We start from the raw sequence: 21,614 nt of genomic DNA, 5'->3' as shown, positions 1-21,614 counted from the left end.
GATTAGTTTCTATGGAGGCCAGGCAGGTGACCTAGATTCCCCACAATGAAATGTGTACTCTGATAGACACTTTTTAAAAGAGAGAAAAAAAAAAAGCCGTGGATAAAAGGTCTGGCTTTAGTTTCTAGCCAATTCTCATCAAGTCCCTTTGAAGGGATTTTCTGATCCCAAGAGAAGCTTTTATTTGATATACGTTTCATGTGCTGGGCTTATCTAGAGCTCAGATAATCACACAGAGGAGTTCTCACCTAGATTACTCAGCGTGCCCCTGGCCTCAGCAGGCTCTTCTTTGGGGCTTTGAGTTTAAATAAACAAACACGAAATCTGAAAGATTCACTTATAATCCTTGGGTCACAGAGCCCTTTTCAGAGTAACTATTCTTATTTCCCTGTGAAATTGAAAAACAACCCCATGCATCTTCAAATAAATTGCAAGTGATTCCACAAGATTTCTCTTTTGGGAGAGGAATATCAGTGAATGTACAAAGAGCAGTGGAATAGAAAATAGAAAAATTGTATGGTTGGCCATATGCTGAATACATTTAGAATGGCTGAGAGTTGCTAAAATCATACTAGATGGAGCACCCTGCAAGTCATACTTTCCACAACTTCTACCTTCTGGAGCACAGTCATAAGAAATGAATTTCCTTGAAGTGGCATTTATGCTTTTATACATTTTGTGATTTTGACATCCCATTGTATATATGTGTTTATATGTATGTCTCCCACCATTATTTTACAAACCCCTTGAGAGTAAAGACTATGATTGTATGTGCCCATGTGTGTTTTTGTGTGTCTTCAAAGCTCCAGCAGCTAGCAATAATCTGATTTGTGAGAGTTACTCACCATTATACATTGGAAAAATGCCTCCTATGGTTGATCATTACTACTTTCTACAGCAACGGTTTCTGAAAATAATTCATTTGTTTACTTGTGGCTCACAATCAACAGTATGAATAATTATTGAGTTGTGCCAAAATCCGATGATGTTTTAAAAGCTTTTAGCAGTGATTCAGTTTGCTTTTTGCTTATAATATAAATGCTACATAAAACAAAATGTAGATTGCAGCCAGACTCTAGGAGTTTATGACTTCCAGTTTCAGGAGCTCCAGCTGTGTTTTACAGATAATGTGTAAAACTGTGTTTTACAGAAGTATAGATATTTAACAGGCTGAGATATGTAGAATAAGATTGGCATGAATAAGACCATAAATGAATACAATGAAAGAAGAGCCTTAGAGCTTTATCCAGAGCTTCAGGCCCAGATAACTGTTTCTTTATTGTCTTCACTTGAATGAGCCACAGACATGGCAAAGTCAACGTTTCTAAAATTAAACCTGTGGTTATCCTTCTGCCTCCCCTCTTTCAGGAAATGTCATACCCATCTGCCCAGCTTCAAATGCAAGAAATCTGAGAGTTTCTCTTCTACCTTCCTCCTTCTTGTTTTCTCACACAATTAGTCACTAAGTGCTATAGTTTCTACCTTCTAAACATCTTGCAAATCTGTCAACTTTCCTCCAACCCTAATGCCATTATCTTATACATTATTTCTCACCTGAATTACTACATATTTACTTAATCTTCTTTCTGTGCCTCTAGTCTTCCGTCTTGCAATTCACTCACCACATTTCAGCCAGAGCGAGCATTCTAAAATGCACATTTGAAGATGGCATTATAATGAACTCCACGTTTCTTAATAATAATGAACATATTCATCCTTTATTAGTTTTTTTACATGCAAGACACTCTTGTATTTATTACATACAAAATATAAGGTGACTTCCTCATCTTGTATCATTTAATCCTTGTAACAACTACATGACCCAAACACAAATAATTGTTACCTTTACAAATGAGACATCTACCTTTTAGAGAGGTCAGGTGATTTTCCTAAAATCAGACTGCTAGTAATGCTGGAACCAGGGTTTACACCCAGGCAGTCTGACTTCAGATACCTCATTCAAATACATGACTCTTTTAAATATATTCATAATTAATCTTATTTATCTCTTACATTTCATCAACATTTCTCCTCTAAACTCTAGGATTTAGGAACACTGAAATTGTCTAAGTTTTTATTGTTGTTGTTCCATACTCTTTTCAACATATGGGATTCTGGTTTTCTTTTTTTCTTTTTTTCCTTTTCTCTCTTGCTTCACTTTCTCTTAACCCCTCCTACTCAATTTAGGTGCTACTTCTCCCAGGAAGCATTTCTTTATCTTTCAAGTATAAGTGGGAAGTAATATTCAAATCATACAAAGTATCTTTTCCAATCACAATGGAATAAAACTAGAAACCAACAATTGAAAGAAAACGGAAAGATTTACAACATGTGGAAATTAAACAACCAATTCTCAAACTACCAATGAGTTCAAGAAGAAATCTCAAGGGAAATTAGAAAATAGTCACACATGCATGAAAATGAAAACACAGCATTCTAAAACTGATGGGATATAGCAAAAGCAGTGCTAAAATGGAAATGTCTAGCTGTAGATGCTTACATTAAAATAGAAGAAAGATCTTGAACTGGGGTACATGATGTCAGCAAGATGGCAGAATAGGAGATCTCCCACTCATATTCCCCCGTAGCAACAATAATTTGACAGCCATTCACAAATGGCTTTGTGGGAACATGGTGGGAGTTTGGGAATCTAGGCAGGAAGTTGTGAAACTGTAGTGGAGCCCCAGACCAAGGATGAAGATTTTCAGAAGGCAGGCCAAAATCCAGGTGGCAGGCTCACTTACTGTTGTCCCAACTACAGACCCAAAGACAACTTCATCTCCCTGTGTACTCAGCTATATTAAAATTTGGCCTTAACCTTGCCATTATCACTATCTGCTCAGGGTCCTCTCTGTCTTGAGTAACAGGCTCACTGACCTTGGTCCTGGCTGTGTATATAAAGCAGCCCATGACCTACATCCCACACTCTCAGCCATGGTTTGTTCATCCATATGCAAAATTCCTCAACAACATACTAGCAAACTAAATCCAGCAGCACATCAAAAAGCTAATCCATCATGATCAAGTAGGCCTCATCCCTGGGATACAAGTTTGACTCAACATATACAAATCAATAAGTGTGATTCATTGTATAAATAGAACTAAAAACAAAATCCACATGGTTATTTATCTCAATAGACGCAGAAACGACTTTTGATAACATTCTACATCTCTTTATGTCACCATCACTAATCAGTAGAGAAATACAAATAAAAAACACAATGAGATACCATCTCACACCAGTCAGAGTGGCCATTTAAAAGTCAAAAAAATAGCAGATGCCAGTGAGGTTGCAGATAAAAGGGAATGCTTATACACTGCTGCTGGGAGTGAAAATCAGTTCAGCCATTGTGGAAAGTGGTGTGGTAATTTCTCAAATAACAAAAAAACAGAATTACCATTTAACTCAGCATTAACTCTGCAGATTCCTTTGGCAGGTATGACATTTTAACAATCTTTCAGTCCATAAATGTCAAATGTCTTTCAATATTTTGTGCCTTCTTTAATTTCTCTCAGCAACATTTTACCATTTTCAATGTAGAAGTCTTCACATCCTTTGTTAATTCTAAGTATTTCATTAATTTTGATGCCATTATAAATGAAATTGATTTCTTAATTTTCTCTTCACGTTATTATTAGTTGATAGAAACATATCTTATTTTTGCTTGTTGACTTTATATTCTACAACTTTGCTGAATTCATTTAGGGTTTGCATGTATGTAATCTTTAGGGTTCTACATATAAGATCATGTTGTCTGTGAACAGAGATAATTTTACTCGTTTTCCAATTGGGATGATTTTATTTTTTCTTCTTGCCTAATTGTTCTGGCTATGACTTCTAGTACTATGTTAAATAAGGGAGGTGAGAGCAGGGAATCTTGTCTTACTCCTGATCTTCTAATAAAAGCTTTCAGGACTTTACCATTAAGGTGATAGGATGCAATTTTGCCCTGCATTGTTAGGAAAGAACGAATAACATTTGTTCCATGTTTTTCTCTAGGTAACATCACTAGGGCGCCTCAGATCGCAAAATTTTCCTGATGAAAGAGAAATCTACTTGGTTTCACCATAAGCAGAAACACTTTCTCCTATATTTTCCTGAGTTACATCATTTTTCAATCTATATACGTTATTTGAGGAATATTTCTAATTATCTTAGTAACTTACTTAGAAATTCTTCTATATGAAATCTAAAAATTAATAATGCCTTTCCTGTCACATTTAAATGTAAATGTTGTCTTGTGTTTTTCAGAAGATGCTTATAAGACCCAGGTCAGGATTGACAATGAGCCAGCTTACTTGGACATCTTGGACACTGCTGGCCAGGTAGGTGATGTTCTTAAACCTCTCCAATCTCTGAGTTTATTTTATGCTTTAGCTTCAAATATATTTACAACAAAGGAGAAGATGACTTTATTCAAGCAGAAGAAGAACAAATTTGTGATAACAATCAGGAATTAAATTTTAAAAGAATCAAAATTACCAACCAGAATATTTCCAAATTCCCTCAATTTTCTAAAAATAAAAGAGTCCATATAGGTGTTATATTGCCAATTAAATTATAAAATTTAAAAATACTTTATTTTTTTTCCTCAGGTTTGCACAAAACTCTGACATAGATCCTAATGTGATAATTTCTATTAGAGAATTTTAGGTGAATATAAAGAAAGATCTGCTTAGCAAATCTGCTCATGGAACTAAGGATAAGGAACCTGATGGAATAAGTGAAATAAGTGACATAACCAAGATTTAGTATGGTCTACTATGTTAGTTTGCAAACCTGTAGGGAAGAAGAAAATGAAGGAGGAAGAGAGAAAGAGAAGTAATTTTTTTGTGACATAAAAATAGAACTAAAATACTACATCACAATTATAAGTAAGTTGTGAGGAAAGGTATAAGATTTAAAACATCTCCATGTCCTAGATATATTTTGAAGAAAGGTGGATATTTTATTTAACTTAATACTTTCAAAATGATTATGTTAAAAATATAAACTCATATATTAAGTGCTAGACATAAACCATATAATTTGATACAAGCATGGGAAAAAGAGAAGAATAAAAAAAGTTGTTAATACAATATAAGACAAAAAAGAAAGCATAAAAAGGTAACAAGGAGGTATAATGTACACATATCAAAATATCAGATATCAAAATAAATAAATCTCTCTGTCCTAAAATAGGCAAATATTGTCAGTATCATATTGAACAAAAGAATAAAACAACCCTATATTTGGGTTAAAAGAGACAAATGGTACAGAAAAATGGAAAATCAAATAAGGAATTAAAAAGGTAGGCAAAAGTAGCCAAACTCAAAGTAAGTATACCTGTATTAATATAAGGCAAATAGATGTTATGCAAAAGTATTATTAAATTAGAAGTGTCAGAATATTCTAAAATTCTAATCTATAATATTTAAGGCAAATCAAGAGAACTGTAAATCATTTACAAATTCAAAATTTTATATAGTAGAAAGTTTTAATGCACCTCTGCTGGTATTCAATTAAAAGGCTGTATAGTTGTAAAAGATTTGTAAACACATTTAACTTAAACAGAATACTTCAGTCAATACAAAAGTAGACATTGTTTCACATACACATCCTGTTTATAATTTTTTATTGATTTTGGATCAAAATGTAAATAAGGTAGTCTGTAAAAGATTGATTATTTGATGTATATAGAATTTTTGGTTGTGGCTTAGAATGTGGTAAATTTTTATAAAATATTTAAGCAAGTTGTTACCTCTTATGGGAGAAAGGGGAAAAGTTAAGAAAGGGGGGAAATACAAAGTAGATTTTAACTATACATGTAATGATTCATGTTCTATTAGAGTTCTAATGTAGGAAATTATTAAGTTGAAAACCTACATCATGTATACACAAATCTTCATCATATTATTTCCCTTTGTACTTATTTTCATTATTTTAAAACATTGTATTTTCTCATCGCTATGTTACTGTTTTTAAAAAAACTGCATAATTGGAATATTGATAGTGTACAAGCAACTAGAAATAGGTCATCTCTTTCTATATTTATGAGTTATTTGAAGACTATTTGAAATCTATATATTAACAGATGCATTTGCTTCTAGAAACATTTGAACAATGGACTTATGGGGGTTAGAACTGTTGAAGCCACTGGGAATATATACAATGGAAAAATTATTTCAATTATTTGAAAGGGCTATCTTATCTAAGAGGAAGTGTACTTGTTTTTCAGTGGAAACTAGAGATCTAATTGGAAGAACATTGAGTAGGTTAAATTTTATTCATGATAATAGGGGGTTTGTAGCAACTAAAATGATCAAATAAAAAAAATGGCTGCTCTGGGAAATAGCAAATTTGTGTTGTTGGAAACACTCAACTAGAATTATGCTTTGGTAGAAAGTGAAATTTTCATTTATTGAATATTCATTCAGTCTACAGTATTTACATGGACTTACCTGGTCCCCAGTGTGGTGCCAATATAATGATGAATAGCCAATATATTTCTCCTTTCTATTGATGTAGACTTGACTATGTCACTGCTTAGTCCAATGGAATGCAGGCAGATGAGACAATCTGCTAGTCTTGGTCCAAGATCTTTAGAAGCACTAAGTGTACTTGTGCTACTTCTCAAGAAAAGGGAATGCTGCAGATAACCCTTTGTCCTCAGTGATTGAGAAAACCTGTGAAAAGACCTAAACCCAACCCAAAGAAAGAAAGCCCAGTCTACCCACACATGGAACAGATCTGCTACAGATACCACACAGATTTGTGAACTAGAAAAATCATGAACACTAGTTGCTTTAAGACACTAAGTTTGAGGTGGTTTGTCTTGTAGCATTATTGTGGCAATAGCTGAGCAATACAGAATATTAATAGAACATTTTTTAGTTACATATGGCTGGAGATGGAGAATCTTACCTCATTGTGGGTGAAGTGGTAAGTGATGAGAGATAAATCTGAAATTCTATGCTCTAGTAATACTGAGAAACTGGCAAACATACAATTAAAAAGATAAAGCTATTAAATGTTCATATCAATAAAAATTTTTTAAAGCTAGTTTCAACTGCAGCCAAACATAGTCAGGAGTACATCAGGCTAAACAGATGATGAAATGTTGGCTTTCAAACCATTATTAAATCCTTCCATTCAGGAGGTGGTCTATACAGTTGTTTTAACAGAATTTATGTTCCCTGTAGGAAACAGGAGAGAACACCATTGAAATTCTTTTAATAATATCACCTTGTTGTCTTTTGGTACTATTAATTTTCAATGTATGTTGAAGTTTACTATCCTTACAACAAATCCAGGAAGTAGACAGAAAAGCTATTATTAATGTCATCACCTAGAATTTGAGTAAAATGTTATACAAAGAAGTAAAGTGGGTGTTTTCTTGGTGGCAATACTGGAGGCCAAGTCCCAATGTGTTTCATGATTGTGCTTGTAAAAGAGACCAAGTGATATATTTCCCTTGCCCATTGCAAGCTTCATGGCTGACACCCTATAACAAAAGACAGAGACATTAACAATAGATAAGCATAATGCTTTATTTGACCAAAGCTTTACATGATGTGGGAGCTTTCCAAAATGAAGACTCAAAGACCCAGGAAAAAATGTGTATTTTTATGCTCAGGTTTGATTAAGAATGAACAATAGTGCGAAGTGTGATTGAATATAAATGGATATAACCTAATATTAATAAACCATTACCATTGCTAATGGTAATAAACCAAACCATTACCATACCATAAAGGATCAAAAATTCTTTTTGGCATTTCTGTGCAATATTCCTTTGCTCTGGGTGTAGGACTGGATACCTGTCAATGAGGGTCTTCAAAAGAGCAGGGGTGAGAGAAGTTCAGATAGACCTTTCTGCTTTTGAGGTTTTCTGCATTTCCAAGGTACCATATTTTGGGGTAGCATGTCCTGCACTTCATCTTATTATACACATAATCTTGCAGTGCCACAATAATCCCATGGCATCACCAAATCTCAGATTATAAAGAACTTGTACCCTAAGCATCTTTCCAGCATTTAATTTTTTTAATACTTAACTCTTCTGCTACATGCTCATTAAGGCTATGATTGATGTCTTCCATTTGTTAAGAATTCTGTTTTAGGAAACAAGCACAGCTTTGGAAAACTTTACTTATTAGAAAGAGTTTTTCTTACAATGAGCTGAGAATTTCTTTATAGTTTCCATCTATTGGTTCCAGATCTATCTCCTGAAAAAAAAAATTACTCATTACATACGTGGAAAATGCAAGGCTCATAGAGGTAATGTGATTTATCTAAGGTAGTACGGCAAATTCTTAAGCTAGCTATGTCTAAAATCCATTTACATTTTACTCAAGCTCTTTCTTATTTCACTTTTTTTATGGAATAACTTAGTGTGTACCAAGAACTGCAATAGGTCAAGAAAATACAGAGTGAAATAAAATTGAGGCTCTGTCTTCAAAATGCTTGAGGTTTGGGGAAGTGAAGATACTCTAAATTAAAAATTGCAGCAAATTATAATAAATACTATGGTAGAAGTGCACAAATTTTGATACTGGGTTATCTTTGATATCTAAATGATCTAAATAAAAAATTAAAGATAAAGTATTTTAAAAATAATTATAAGTTTAGGTGAAACTCTAGCAAAATATATATCATGTTTACTTTATAAATGTATTGAATAATCCTCATTCTTATTAGAAGCAAAAAAATTAATTCTGCAAATACCTTCAATTTTTTTTTTTTTTTGAAATGCTAACATATCCAGTCAATTCCATGACCTAAGTCTTGCCCCATACCTGGCTTTGGCCTGGATTAAGTCATTCTGGAACAATGGGAAACAGTTGTAGTTTGGTATTAGGTTTAGTTCCTAACCAACTCTGCAGTCAAGCAAGTCCTGTAGCCAATCTCGACCTAGTTTACTCATCTGTGAAATGAATAAATTAGACTTGATCTCTAAAGTGTCTTCCAGATATAAAGCCCTGTGATTTCTGAATTACTACGAGCTTAATTTTTATATAATTCTTCTCTGAAAGCTTAAATTGCTTTTTAGCCACAATTTATTTTTTTCCTTTCTTCCCCAGTTTGTGGCTTATCTTTAAAGAGAATACTTAAGGGCATGACCCCTTCCTTAAGGAATCCTATTATTCTATAAATGGTTTTGGATATTTTAAGGTCCAGAGGAATAAAATGGGCTAGAATTGTTCTGAAACTGGAAATAAAATTCCAAATCAAGAGCTTCTATTAGAATGATGTTTAGGACATTTCCTCACTAATTATATTCTAGAATCAATACATGTGTCCAAACTCTCCTGTCCACTTTTACTACATTTTGATAGTTTTGATTATTTGATGGATGCTAACTAACTTACTAAGTAAGAGTCGATGCAAGCTTTGTAACATCAAAATCAAAAGGTATGGGAAGGTAGGCTTTAAGAACATTCCCAATTTTCAAATTCATATATTATCCTTAGGATGTGACACTGAGGAAGTGGAGAGATTGCTACCCTCCTTTTACTACCTCCTCCAATGTACTTCTCCTCACTGCTGCCTACCCAACACTAGACTCGAATACAGGTATCCTGTTACTATAATCTTACAATGTGTATTCTGTTCACATACTTCTTAAATCACTCCATGCTGGTATTACCTAGTCCATCTAGAAGTAAGGCACATTTTTAAAAACTCTAGAAATAAGGCTTAACCTGAAGTACTTGCCATATAGTCAGAAATATATGAGGAAAAGTTAAAAGAAAACTTGATAAAGAACAGTTAAAAATACAGCCAGATATTTAAGTACAAACTGATTTTATAAGCATTCTCATTAGGAGAATCAACAAATGCTAGTCCAGCTTTAACTATGAGAAGACAGAATATGTTTACAACCATACTCACATCCCAAACTGATAGAACTAAGCATACCCTTTGATCTTGGGGAAAATGGGCCAAGTTCATTATGATCCATTGTTTTGGCTCTGAGATGCTTGAAAACAATTTATTATTAACATTACTGCAAATAGGATTGGCATGAATCCTGATTTTCCCAGGACATTCCTAGTTGGTATCTCCTGCTGTATAGCAATTAATGCTTGTTAATTCTTATGGTAGCATTGAATTTCATTCAAAGGTGTTCCAGTTTGAATTAATTTATATAGTCATCCAAACCACAAACTAGTAGCTCTCCTCCAGTACAGTGGCTCTGTACTGTACATGGCTATAAAACCAACTATGGTTAAACATGCATAGTTGAAAAGCCAGTCACTATTCTGAACAAGACGAGAAAATAGAAACCAAATAAAAATGATTTTAGTAGCCCAAGCAAATGTCAAGAAAATCCTTAAAATAAAATTCTTACATTGTTTATAAACCCTTTCACGACATGGGAGACTATCATGTTCTCGTTCTGAGTCTATTTGATATTAGTGTCAGATATAACATGCTGATTATCTAAATTTTAAGAACTAAAACTGGGTTTCTAGAAACAAATATTTTAATAGTAGAATAAACTGACAACTTATAGAAAAAAGATGAAATTATTTTAAAATGTAAGATAAAACTTAAAAATTATTTTATAAATATGTAAGTCTGGGACCATTTGCTCTAAAGGCAAGCAGCTAGGTATAATAATAATATTAATAAATAACACCATTAAACTATCAATATATTAAGAATTATGATTTGGATTTTTGCTAAAGAAGGCACAAAGTATGAAATTTTAGAAAAAACTTTTGGCCAGGTGTGGTGGCTCACGCCTGTAATCCCAGTACTTTGGGAGGCCGAGATGAGCGGATCACGAGGTCAGCAGATTGAGACCATCCTGGCTAACATGGTGAAACCCCGTCTCTACTAAAAATACAAAAAAAAAAAAAAAAAAAAAAAAAAAATTAGCCGGGCGTGGTGGCGGGCGTCTGTAATACCAGCTACTCAGGAGGCTGAGGGAGGAGAATGGCATGAACCCGGGAGGCGGAGCTTTCAGTGAGCCGAGATCACGCCACTGCACTCCAGCCTGGGCAACAGAGCGAGACTCTGTCTCAAAACAACAACAACCACCTTTTACAAGATGACCATTTCTACAGTATGTTTTAAGGGTAAATATCTGTATTGACTCAGGAAAAAAAATTATCTAGACCATCAACTGTGAAAGATTTACAAAAGATTTATAGAAGCCAATCACAGTGTTGTTAGTATTTCCCTGTATTTAAGAGGCAACTATGTCTCCTCTTATATGTGGAGATAGATATATATAGAGAGAGAAATATATCATAAAGGATATATTTCTTTATATCCTTTATGATATTTTTCACAAAAAGTTTTTTCTTCCCTAATTCTAAACATTAGGAGTATTTATTTTCAGCTTTTCCTTGATTTACATGGTGCATATATTGATCAATTGGGAAAGGATTTAGATTATATAAATGAATGACAATATTGCATTCCATTTGGTATCTATATGAAAGATCACATTAGTGAGTACATTAGGTTTAGCCCATACTGCTTGCCATAACTACGGTACAGTTGTATCATGAAGCAGAGGCACAGTTAAGAATAAGACTTAATAAAAATGAATGAAGCATATAGATCATATATATATATATGTCTATATGTGTCTATCTGACATTCTCAACATGATTAATTGAACATACACAGATTTATAATGCCCCAATTGATTGTTCCATATTGATACAAAAGAAATAAAATCATGGCATTCCCTGACCTTGGAGAACTTACACTTTCATTTTTGTACATATTGAGAAATAATTTAGACTCAAAACTGGAGAAAGAAATGTCAAATTTCTTCACTACATATTTTATCATATCACCTCTTTAGCTTTCTCTCATAGTGAATGTTTTTATCAAAATATGCTTTATGAACCTAATTGCTCATCAGTATGATATGTAGAATATTTAGATTTATATTTATCATTTATATTTTTAGCTGAAACTTCACAATTTCAATACTAAATTTGCCAAATTAGAAAATATACATATACTTGTCATAAGAGTACTACATAAAATGACTACCAAGATTCTCTAAAGTATACTTTTAATAGAAATAGCCGAAAAAGAGAATGTCATTCAATTATCTCTCAACATTCATTTCTTAGCTTACTGGTCACCATTAATTCAAAGCATTTCCTTCAGCATTTCATTTTTGTGTTGGACAATGAAAGAACTTTGCATCCTATAATTACTGCTGGGCCACTGTGCCAACAGAAATTTCACTAAGGATAGTTCTCGGCAGAAACTCTGAAGTCAATTTACAAAGGTTTCTACTTAATGTCCATGAAAATTTCCATAATTATGAATATAAAAAATTAGAAGGAGCTTCAGGAGGTCACATATTTCAGTCTCTTCAGTTTACTAATAAAGACACTGGGGCTCAGAAGAGGTTAAGTGGCTTATCCAAGGTCACGTGGCTTCTAAATGACAAAGCTGGAGTGATCCTAGCATTATGCTCATGAATCATTTCTGAAATCCTACAGTGATGTGGCTATATTACTTCTTCTAAAAGCTGTTTCTGTGAAGGTGAGTAGGACTGGACTATCTGAGTGGTAGTGCTTGCTATTCATGTATCACTTTTTGATGACATCAGTGATATAATTAAAAGACACCTAGTTGGAAACTTTGAGCAATGAACCAAATACTCAGGTTGGTAAAATCATGGAAGAATTCTGAAAAAAAAAAAAAAAAAAAAAAAAAAAAAAAAAAGCCATCAGTACACATCTTTGTTTACCACCATATTTTTATATTTTTATATTTCTTTATATCCTTTACGATATTTTGCACAAAAAGTTTTTTCTTCCCTAATTCTAAACATTAGGAGTATTTATTTTCAGCTTTTCCTTGATTTACATGGTCCATATATTGAACAATTGGGAAAGGATTTAGATTATATAAATGAATGACAATATTACATTCTATTTGGTATCTATATGAAAGATCACATTAGTGAGGACATTAGGTTTAGCCCATACTGCTTGCCATAACTACGGTACAGTTGTATCATGAAGCAGAGGCACAGTTAAGAATAAGACTTAATAAAAATGAATGAAGCATATAGATCATATGACCTCTTTTTTTCACATCTGACTCAAATGGGATGTGTAGCATTAGGTAAGAGAAAATATTTCTTGGGTCTATGATTCACTTTCTTCCCATTCTTAAAACAAAGAGTTAAATGTTATTTAAAGGATTTTGTGCTCTAACATTCTATCATCCTCAAAACTGGTTTGTTCATTCATTTAACAGTGAACTATTCAGTATTGGACATGGATCATGTTCTCTGAACATTACTGATAGCTATGACAGATTCAAACAAATTTAAATAGTTTTTCCTGCCTTCATGACATTTGCAACATAGCCAAGATGTACCAGTTGATTAAGAGAAAATGTCATTAATGTGTTGTTAAGGTAGCTCTCAGTTAAGTTTTAAGAATGAGAATCAACTGTTTTTGCTCAAGCAAAATGGTAACCAGAGAAGGATAAATCAGGAGGGCTACTCCCAAAAAGCTTAAAATTGCTGAAGAAGTATATTTATACGCACAACCTCCAAACTACTAGTCTATTAAAAGAAAAACACATGAATAGTGATGCCTACCATTACAAGTCTTCTAGGAATAGGACATTGTCAGTCAGGAAAAATGATGAGACAAATCATTTTAGGAGGTTTATTTGCCAAAGTTGAGGATGCACACCCTGGAGACAGGTTTATGCCTTTCTCTGAAGATGATTTTGAGGCTCCAAATTTAAAGGAGAAAGGGCAGGATATTGAGAAGTACACAATTTTTATGTATGTGGGAGTAGGAAAACATAGTCGTTCATGCCTTCGTCTGGCTCAGTAGTGAATCTGCATTTTTACATAAGATAACATAGACAAAACTGGGCAGGGGAAAAATCAAATAGGCATTGTGTCAGGTGGGGGTGGAGTAGTGACTGCACCTGTAAAGATAAGCTATCAATTTACATTGCCATGGTGTAATTTTAACAGAAACACTTTAGGGTAAAAATCTTGGAGCTCACTAGGAATTTCCTTGTGGGCAAAATACTGGGGAGGCATGTAGCTTTTCATCTAGTAGCTATCTTATTTAGGAACCAAAAGTGGGAGGAAGATTTGCCTGACCCAGTTCCCAGTTTAACTTTTCCCTTTGGCTTAATGATTTTGAGGCCTGAAGATTGATTGATTGATTGATTTTATTTTTTTATTATATTTATTTATTATTATTATTTTTTGAGATGGAGTCTCGGCCTTTCGCCCAGGCTGGAGTGCAATGGCACAATCTCGGCTCGCTGCAACCTCCGCCTCCCAGGTTTAAGCTATTATCCTGCCTCATCCTCCCAAGTAGCTGAAATTACAGGTGCACATCACCGCGCCCAGCTAATTTTTTGTATTTTTAGTAGAGATGGGGTTTCACCATGTTGGCCAGGCTGGTCTCGAACTCCTGACCTCTTGATCCACCCACTTTGGCTTCCCAAAGTGCTGGGATCACAGGTGTGAGTCATCATGCCCAGCCTGTTATTATTTTTTAATACAGATTCTCACTCTATTGCCCAGGCTGGAGTGCAGTGGTGCAATATCAGCTCACTGCAACCTCCACCTCCTGGGTTCAAGTGATTCTCCTGTCCCAGCTTCCCTAGTAGCTGGGATTATGGGTGCCTGCCACCATGTTCAGCTAATTTTTGTATTTTTTTTAGTAGAAATGGGGTTTCACCATGTTGACCAGGCTGATTTCAAACTCCTAACCTCAAGCGATCAGCCCTCCTTGGCCTTGCAAAGTGCAGCGATTACAGATATGAGCCACCAAGCCCGGCCAGGATTTATTTTCCTTTCACAACATTTTGATGACAAAGCCAAAGAAAGGTATTATAAAAATGTTTCCTTCTTTTTTTCCCATGAATATAGCAATATTATGATGTTAAAACTTTCTCAGTGTTCTTTTGGAAAGATAGTCAAAGAGTAAGAGGGATTCCTCAAGCCTTGAATGAGTTTCAAGAACCCAGTTTTCCAGTTATTTTCTTCTAAATATTGTCTTGACCCCTCATGGATTTCCAGATATGATGGATGTTCCCATGTCACTGTCTGTGCCTGGGGTCTTGCTAGCTATATTGCAGGTGGTTCTTAATTAAGTAACTATTTTCAATCAATTGCAGAAGAAAATAATATATCCTGGATTTTTCTGGTTCAAGACTATTTTCTATTAAACATATTCTTATTCCTAAGAATCTTCAAAGGCCCTGGAAAAGAAATATGTTGCATTTCATCTGAAAATCAGGAAAAGATGGTATTTGGGGAACCAAACCTCTCCATTAGAAATCAATTCTGCAATTAGGCAGCAGAGATGCTTAAATGCTCCTATTCAAGGAACGTGGATTATTCCTTGCAACATGGATAGGTAAATAGCATGCTGATTTTGACTTTAATGAGCAACTGGAGACACACTGTGACCAAAAGAGTTGGAAAATATATTGTCTCAGAGCCATTAAGTGCCCTCAAAAGTAGGTAAAAAATGTCTTCTGATCAATAGAATTTGAAGAGGAGCCACTTTATATAGGATTGTCCTGCAGACCATTTGTGAAGTTTATTTGTATACTAGCATCCTGTGAATTCTGAGTTCTATTTAATGCAAATGAAAATGATAATGACCATCTCATTCAGAGACTACTCACAGAAATAGGGGGTCTATTTTAGAATGACGGTTTGAAACTAAATGGAGTCCCTCCACTAAGCTAATAAGTATCTTTGATATCACTAAGAAATCAAAATACACATTTTTCCTGCCAGGCTCCTAAGCCAAAAATTTTGCATCCTGCTTTCTACTTTGAAGCAAAGCTGTTTGACTCTCAAAGCCTGCTCAGATAAACACACTTTCATTCCCTAAACACACGTCTGTTAGTGGTTCTGGCAGTTATGTAGGATCTTTCAGCTTATTATCTGAAAATGCTATTCTCTCATCTTGAATCAATTCAAGTTTCAAACGAAAGTTAAAATATAATCTTATCTAATGGGAATTTAAAATGCATTTTCATCAGCAATATTTTAATGGGCTTATACACTCATGCCCTCAAAGTATAAAAATAGTTTTAAAATAATTTTAAATGGGTTTCCTCTTCCCGTTTTTAAAATTGTTTTCTCATTGTCCTGCTATAATACAGAAAAGCTCCATTAATAGTAAAATGCAAAGTGCTATTACTTTTATTTGCAGATATGCAACTTTGATTTTAAAATAAAATTGCTATCGCAGGAAATCCAAAGTTCTTTCTGGTAGAATGGTTGACTATTTTATATCAGGCAGATTTCATGTGTAAGTATGGTAGTAGTCTGCTTACGTAGCTACCGGTGCTTTCACCCCTAAACATTTCTCTCCTTTATTCTCACATCTGAAATTTACAGAAAAGGTGTTGTGTTATGGAGCAATAAAAAATAGGCAAAACATAGGTGAGACAGGTGAGATGCAGCCAAACATCATCTGCTCATTAAAGTACAGAAAGTCAACAGAATCAATATATTTATAAAGACTCTACAGAGTGTGCCATGGAAAATGCGTACTCTCACTCTCCTCTGAGAGAATACCACTTTGGGAGGTTGCTCCACTAATTGATGTTAGAATGCCAGATGACTCCATCTTAGTAGTTGTGGTGGTTAAAGAAAAATGATTGCTGTTTTCATATGGCTCTGGTGAGACCATAGAAAATGTAGCCTAAATAGCAACACACCCAGTGGCTCAAGGGATATGATTATAAAATTTAACTATGAAGTCAACTCATTAATAGGGGTCACACATCTTCACAATGGATCAATGTGATTATTTTACACCTACACAGCTGTTTTCTTGACTTGGTCTGTAGGTGCCATGTATACTCCTACCTTGATTTTACACTCTAGTTCAGAGAAATGTGTGGTTACGAGTGAAAGCCAGTTATCAGAGGATAGTACTAGAGTAAGCTTTGCTGAATAGCTCTAGCTGAGTCTTGATAAGAGTCCACAGTCTGAGTGTAATCATATTCGGAATTCAGTACTCCTGTGTTAAACCTGAGTTGATGCGTCCTGCAATAAGTTGTCCAGCTTTGCTGTCCAATCTTTGTCAAAACTCTACTTCTGGAGTAACTGCTAACAACTTTAATAGTATTTCTAAGCAGATATTTATTAAACTCAGAGATGAAAAGACAATGTAGAATTTGTGTCACTTCAGAAAAAAAACTGAAGTTGTTGGATTGCTTTTACAGAAGATTAGGATACATATCAGCTGGGTGTATAGTTACTATAACATTTATTATTTTCAACTTTTTATTCTTTTATGTATGAACTCTGTAAGCCAGAATGACTTTTAAAATAATTCCCCTCTGTTTATCCCAGATATAATAGTTTTGAAATGTGCCACCACATCCTTAATTTTCCAAAGTAGACACTCCAAGACACAAGAGGGAACATTATAAACATAAATAATAAGCAAAAAACAAAAAAATTAACCATTAAAATAAACCTTAGGAGAAAGGTGATTGATTAAAAGTATACAAATACATAATGTTTTGAGAGGCTTGTTTTGTAACAAGAAGACAATTTTTCCCCTATCTTGAGGAAGTGATGAGTATACCTTCTTCATAAAAAAGCAAACAAACATTCTAGTCAATATATTTGCTGACAACAAACTGTATATAATCTTGCTGTGTTTATGCTAGCCTACATTATTGATGTAGGTCCTGTTAATAAAATGTAGTTAGGAAATATCTTTAGAGCTTATAAATATTGTTGACTTCAACCTTCAGCTTGGACTCATGATCATTGAGGAGTACTGCTAAAAACATTGGCAGGGCTGGGTGCAGTGGCTCACGCCTGTAATCCCAGCACTTTGGGAGGCCGAGGTGGGTGGATCACCTGAGGTCAGGAGTTCAATACCAGCCTGGCCAACATGGTGAAACCCCGTCTCTACTAAAAATACAAAAATTAGCTGAATATGGTGGTGGACACCTGTAATCCCAGCTACTCAGGAGGCAGAGGCAGGAAAATTGCTTAAACCCAGGAGGCAGAGGTTGCGGTGAGCTGAGATCGTGCCACTGCACTTCACTCCAACCTTGGCGACAGAGCGAGACTCCATCTCAAAAACAAAAACAAAAACAAACAAAAAAACATTGTCAGGACCTCAATCCTCAAAGAATTGCTTCCAAATCTTCTCAAGTTTACATGCTCTGTAGAGGTTTTGACCGTGAAAATATGTTTATAATGTTAGGTAATGTAGACTTCTGTGACAATTCCTTAATTCTCTTCTAAGATGATGCCGAGAAAAGTAGCCCTTTATGAAGATCCTGTGTCCTTGGGAATCTACCACAGAAGAGTGAAGCTTGAACAGTGCTAAGACATTTCAATTAATCTATAGAGTTGAAATTTCTGACTATTTGTAATTGATGATATAATTTACTTTTTAAAAGTATCCTCTTTTACCTCAGTATTTGTTTGGTAGTATACATAATCTCATTCATCTTTTCTTGGAATTTTACCCATACTACGTTTACTTCAGTTAAGACATACCAACTCGTGGCTTCTCCACATGCCTGTTCATCTCCCTAGTCATCATCTCAGAAATATCTCAAGTTTAGGCATATAATAAATGGCTGCATTATTTTACATAAGCTATGATGTTCTCACCAGGCTGTTGATCCTCTATGGGACAGATAAGCCTCTAAGCAATGGTTCATAGTGCAATTAAATTATGAACTTTTATTAATGCTACAGTTTTATCATATGAATTAGTCTAAATGGAGTACAGTGGCTTAAATCTGACAAATGACTGGTCCCCAGAGCCTGTTAGGAGAATAGTAACATACTAGCCTGGGCCCTCCATTCCATTTATTTCAAAATTGAATGGAAGTCTTTTAACATGTAAATTGAAAAAGGAGAAAGATAAATGAAAATTTTCAATAACTGAGAAAACTGTCTTTTTAAAATTAGTATCTGTTTAGGATCTAGAGTGGAAGATGTAACTGTTTAATTGTAGAATTTAAGAGTGATAGTATAGTACTTGTTAAACTTATTATATATACTGTAATTCCTGAAGTCAGTAAACAAATTTTACCTTAATTTTTAAAGAAGTCTTATAAAAAAGCATTTTTGTTGTCTTAAAATGACTGTTTTAATATTGGCAATGTCCTTACAGTTTTTAGCTCTAGCAATTAAAATGTCAAATAATAAGACTTCAAATTATTTTGTAAGCAATAGAAATAGTTAATATAGTCAGTAAACTTTTATTAAAAGCCTACAATGTTTACATATGAAGCTGGACACAAGAAAGTGTAGGAACAAAGCAGAGATGGAGTCCCTTCATGAAGTGTGGTCTAGTGCAAAAGACAGATGTAAAACTAAACTATTTTATCCAATTGCAACTGTGCATAGGGAACCTTGCATAATATGGAGGGTTAAGGTCAATGAAGGCTTTAAGACATGATCTTGAGTTCAGGAGGCAGATAAGGGAGGAAATAAAAACTATTGTTGGCATGAAAACTGACATATGTAATGAGATGTCATTGATGGAGAGTAATAAAAGTGGGGTTGTCTTTTTAAATGTTCACCCTGGAATAGCATAGAGAAAGAACTGTGAGGAGACAATACATGTAGGAAGATCATTAAAAGGCCTTTACAGAATTTCAGGCAAAGGATGGTAGCCTGGCTCTGTGAATGGACAGAGGGGGCACGTTCCAGAGTCATTTCAGATGTAGAGACAGGATTTGGGGAAATGTTCAGGAGTTGCGCTTGGCAGTATCGCTGGTCTGGACATGGTCTGACGTTTTAGTATTTTTCATGATCAAATTATATATTATATTTTATCATTCTTTTGCCTCTTCCCAACAGATTCCTATCAAGCTTGTCCTCATCTCCTCATTTTATTATTAAAAACATTGTCCCTGGAATTTCAAAAGCACCCCTAGTTTATGTCCCATTAGTATGAAGTGTATTATCATATTAGCTAATTTGTGGCTGCCTGAAGCTTCTATACTAATCAGAATGGACATCATTCTTATCCCAGTAACTGCAGCCAGTGAGAAGGACATTTCTAGCTGCTGAATGCATGTGTAGGCACCAGAAGGGTACATATCTTGGTCAATAATTTTTTATATATTTTGTAACATAACAGATCAAGACCCTACATTTTATACAGAACAATAGATAAGAGTTGCTGGGATGCTAATGCAAAATTACATTTTAAAACAGAATTCTATATCTAGCAAATTTGTAAACTTTCCAAATTGCTGATCTTGAAAGAGTCTTGATAAGAAACCAATTTTTATAGACTGTTTCTTGCCTTGCCAAAGGTGAGCAATCCATGGCTCCCAAGCCTGTGATACCTCACTCTGTTCTTATCAGCTGTTACAGTAGGAACTCTTTTAACCAGCCTCCTCTTTAACTCACCCACCAGGTTAACCAGTGGTCCCTGCTTCCTCTCAAAATCTTAATGATCAATGTCTCAAATTTTCTAAATCCTGGCAGCAAGATTGCACTCTGCTATACCTGAACTGAAGCTCTCTCCGACAGGTTTATGAAGAGTCAGTTGTGTTTTCTTCCAAACCAGTTTATACCAGTTGTACATAATTTTTAGTTTAAGTAAATTATTATTAATTAATGAATCAATTAATTAGTTAATTAATTTTTTGAGAAGAAGTCTCACTCTGTTGCCTAGGCTGGAGTGCAGTGGTGCAACTTCAGCTCACTGCAACCTCCACCTCCTGGGTTCAAGCGATTCTCCTGCCCCACCCTCCCAAGTAGCTGGTATTACAGGTGCATGCCACCATGCCTGGCTAATTTTTGCATTTTTAGTAGAGACAGAGCTTCGCCAAGTTGACCAGGCTGGTCTTGAACTCCTGACCTCAAGTGATCCACCTGCTTCGGCCTCCCAAAGTGCTGGGATTACAGGAATTATTTAATTTACGTGAATTGTAAATTGCATGAACTGATAAAATACTGTGAGAAGCAAGTCAACATGCAGACCAAGTTGAGTAATTTGAAATGATATGTTAACCATGAGTCTCAGCTCTCTCTCCTCCCAAATTATTGTTGCAACAGGGATTGGCAAGACAGTTTAAAATTTGTCATTTAAAAATCTATAATTCTGAATTCTTATAGATTCTAGACTCACAACTGTGTTAAATTCTTGTTCTACTTTAATCGTATCAAAATATAAAGCATGAAGGATGCATTATGGATATTTTGTGCAAAAATATAACTCCATTTGGCAGACTTATTTCCAAAAGGGGGTGTGTTGGCTCACCATCAAAGATTTGAAAATGAATATACATTTGTGTTTTAAGTGAATATGTAATGCCTAATGTATGTATCATTTAAAACTATTCCACTTTTTAACTGATGTTGATTAATAGTATGAAATCAGGTCAGTTCTATTGTCCCTAAGAGGTCTTTGCCATAGAACAGCCCAGACACCAAACAGTCTTTGCCTGAATTATCAGTAAACATTTTGTCCTAGACCTTGGCTTCCCTGTATTACAACAGTCTCCTCTTTATCTCCTACCAATGGACTCCTCTCCAGCTTGTTCTCACCTCCTCTCTTAGCAGCCTTCCGGGACGCCAGGATGCCATTACAACTTGTGAAACATATCAAGATCAAAACTTTCACCTCTGCCTCACACTGCCTAT

General features: G+C 34.7%; 1 protein-coding gene across 2 annotated transcripts in view; it reads left to right on the top strand.

Moving 5' to 3' along the window:
- Positions 1-21,614, top strand: part of RIT2 (Ras like without CAAX 2) — a 372,459-nt gene that overhangs the window by 137,286 nt on the left and 213,559 nt on the right. For both annotated transcript variants that reach the window (NM_002930.4, NM_001272077.2), the window contains exon 3: positions 4,253-4,326. In NM_002930.4, the coding sequence (NP_002921.1) occupies positions 4,253-4,326 (74 nt within the window). The remainder of the gene's footprint in view (positions 1-4,252; positions 4,327-21,614) is intronic.

Source organism: Homo sapiens, chromosome 18 (genome assembly GCF_000001405.40).
Source record: "Homo sapiens chromosome 18, GRCh38.p14 Primary Assembly".
In the NCBI taxonomy this organism is placed as follows: Eukaryota; Metazoa; Chordata; class Mammalia; order Primates; family Hominidae; genus Homo; species Homo sapiens.
The sequence above is the reverse complement of the archived record's forward strand: the minus strand, read 5'-3'. Positions and strand labels throughout refer to the sequence as shown.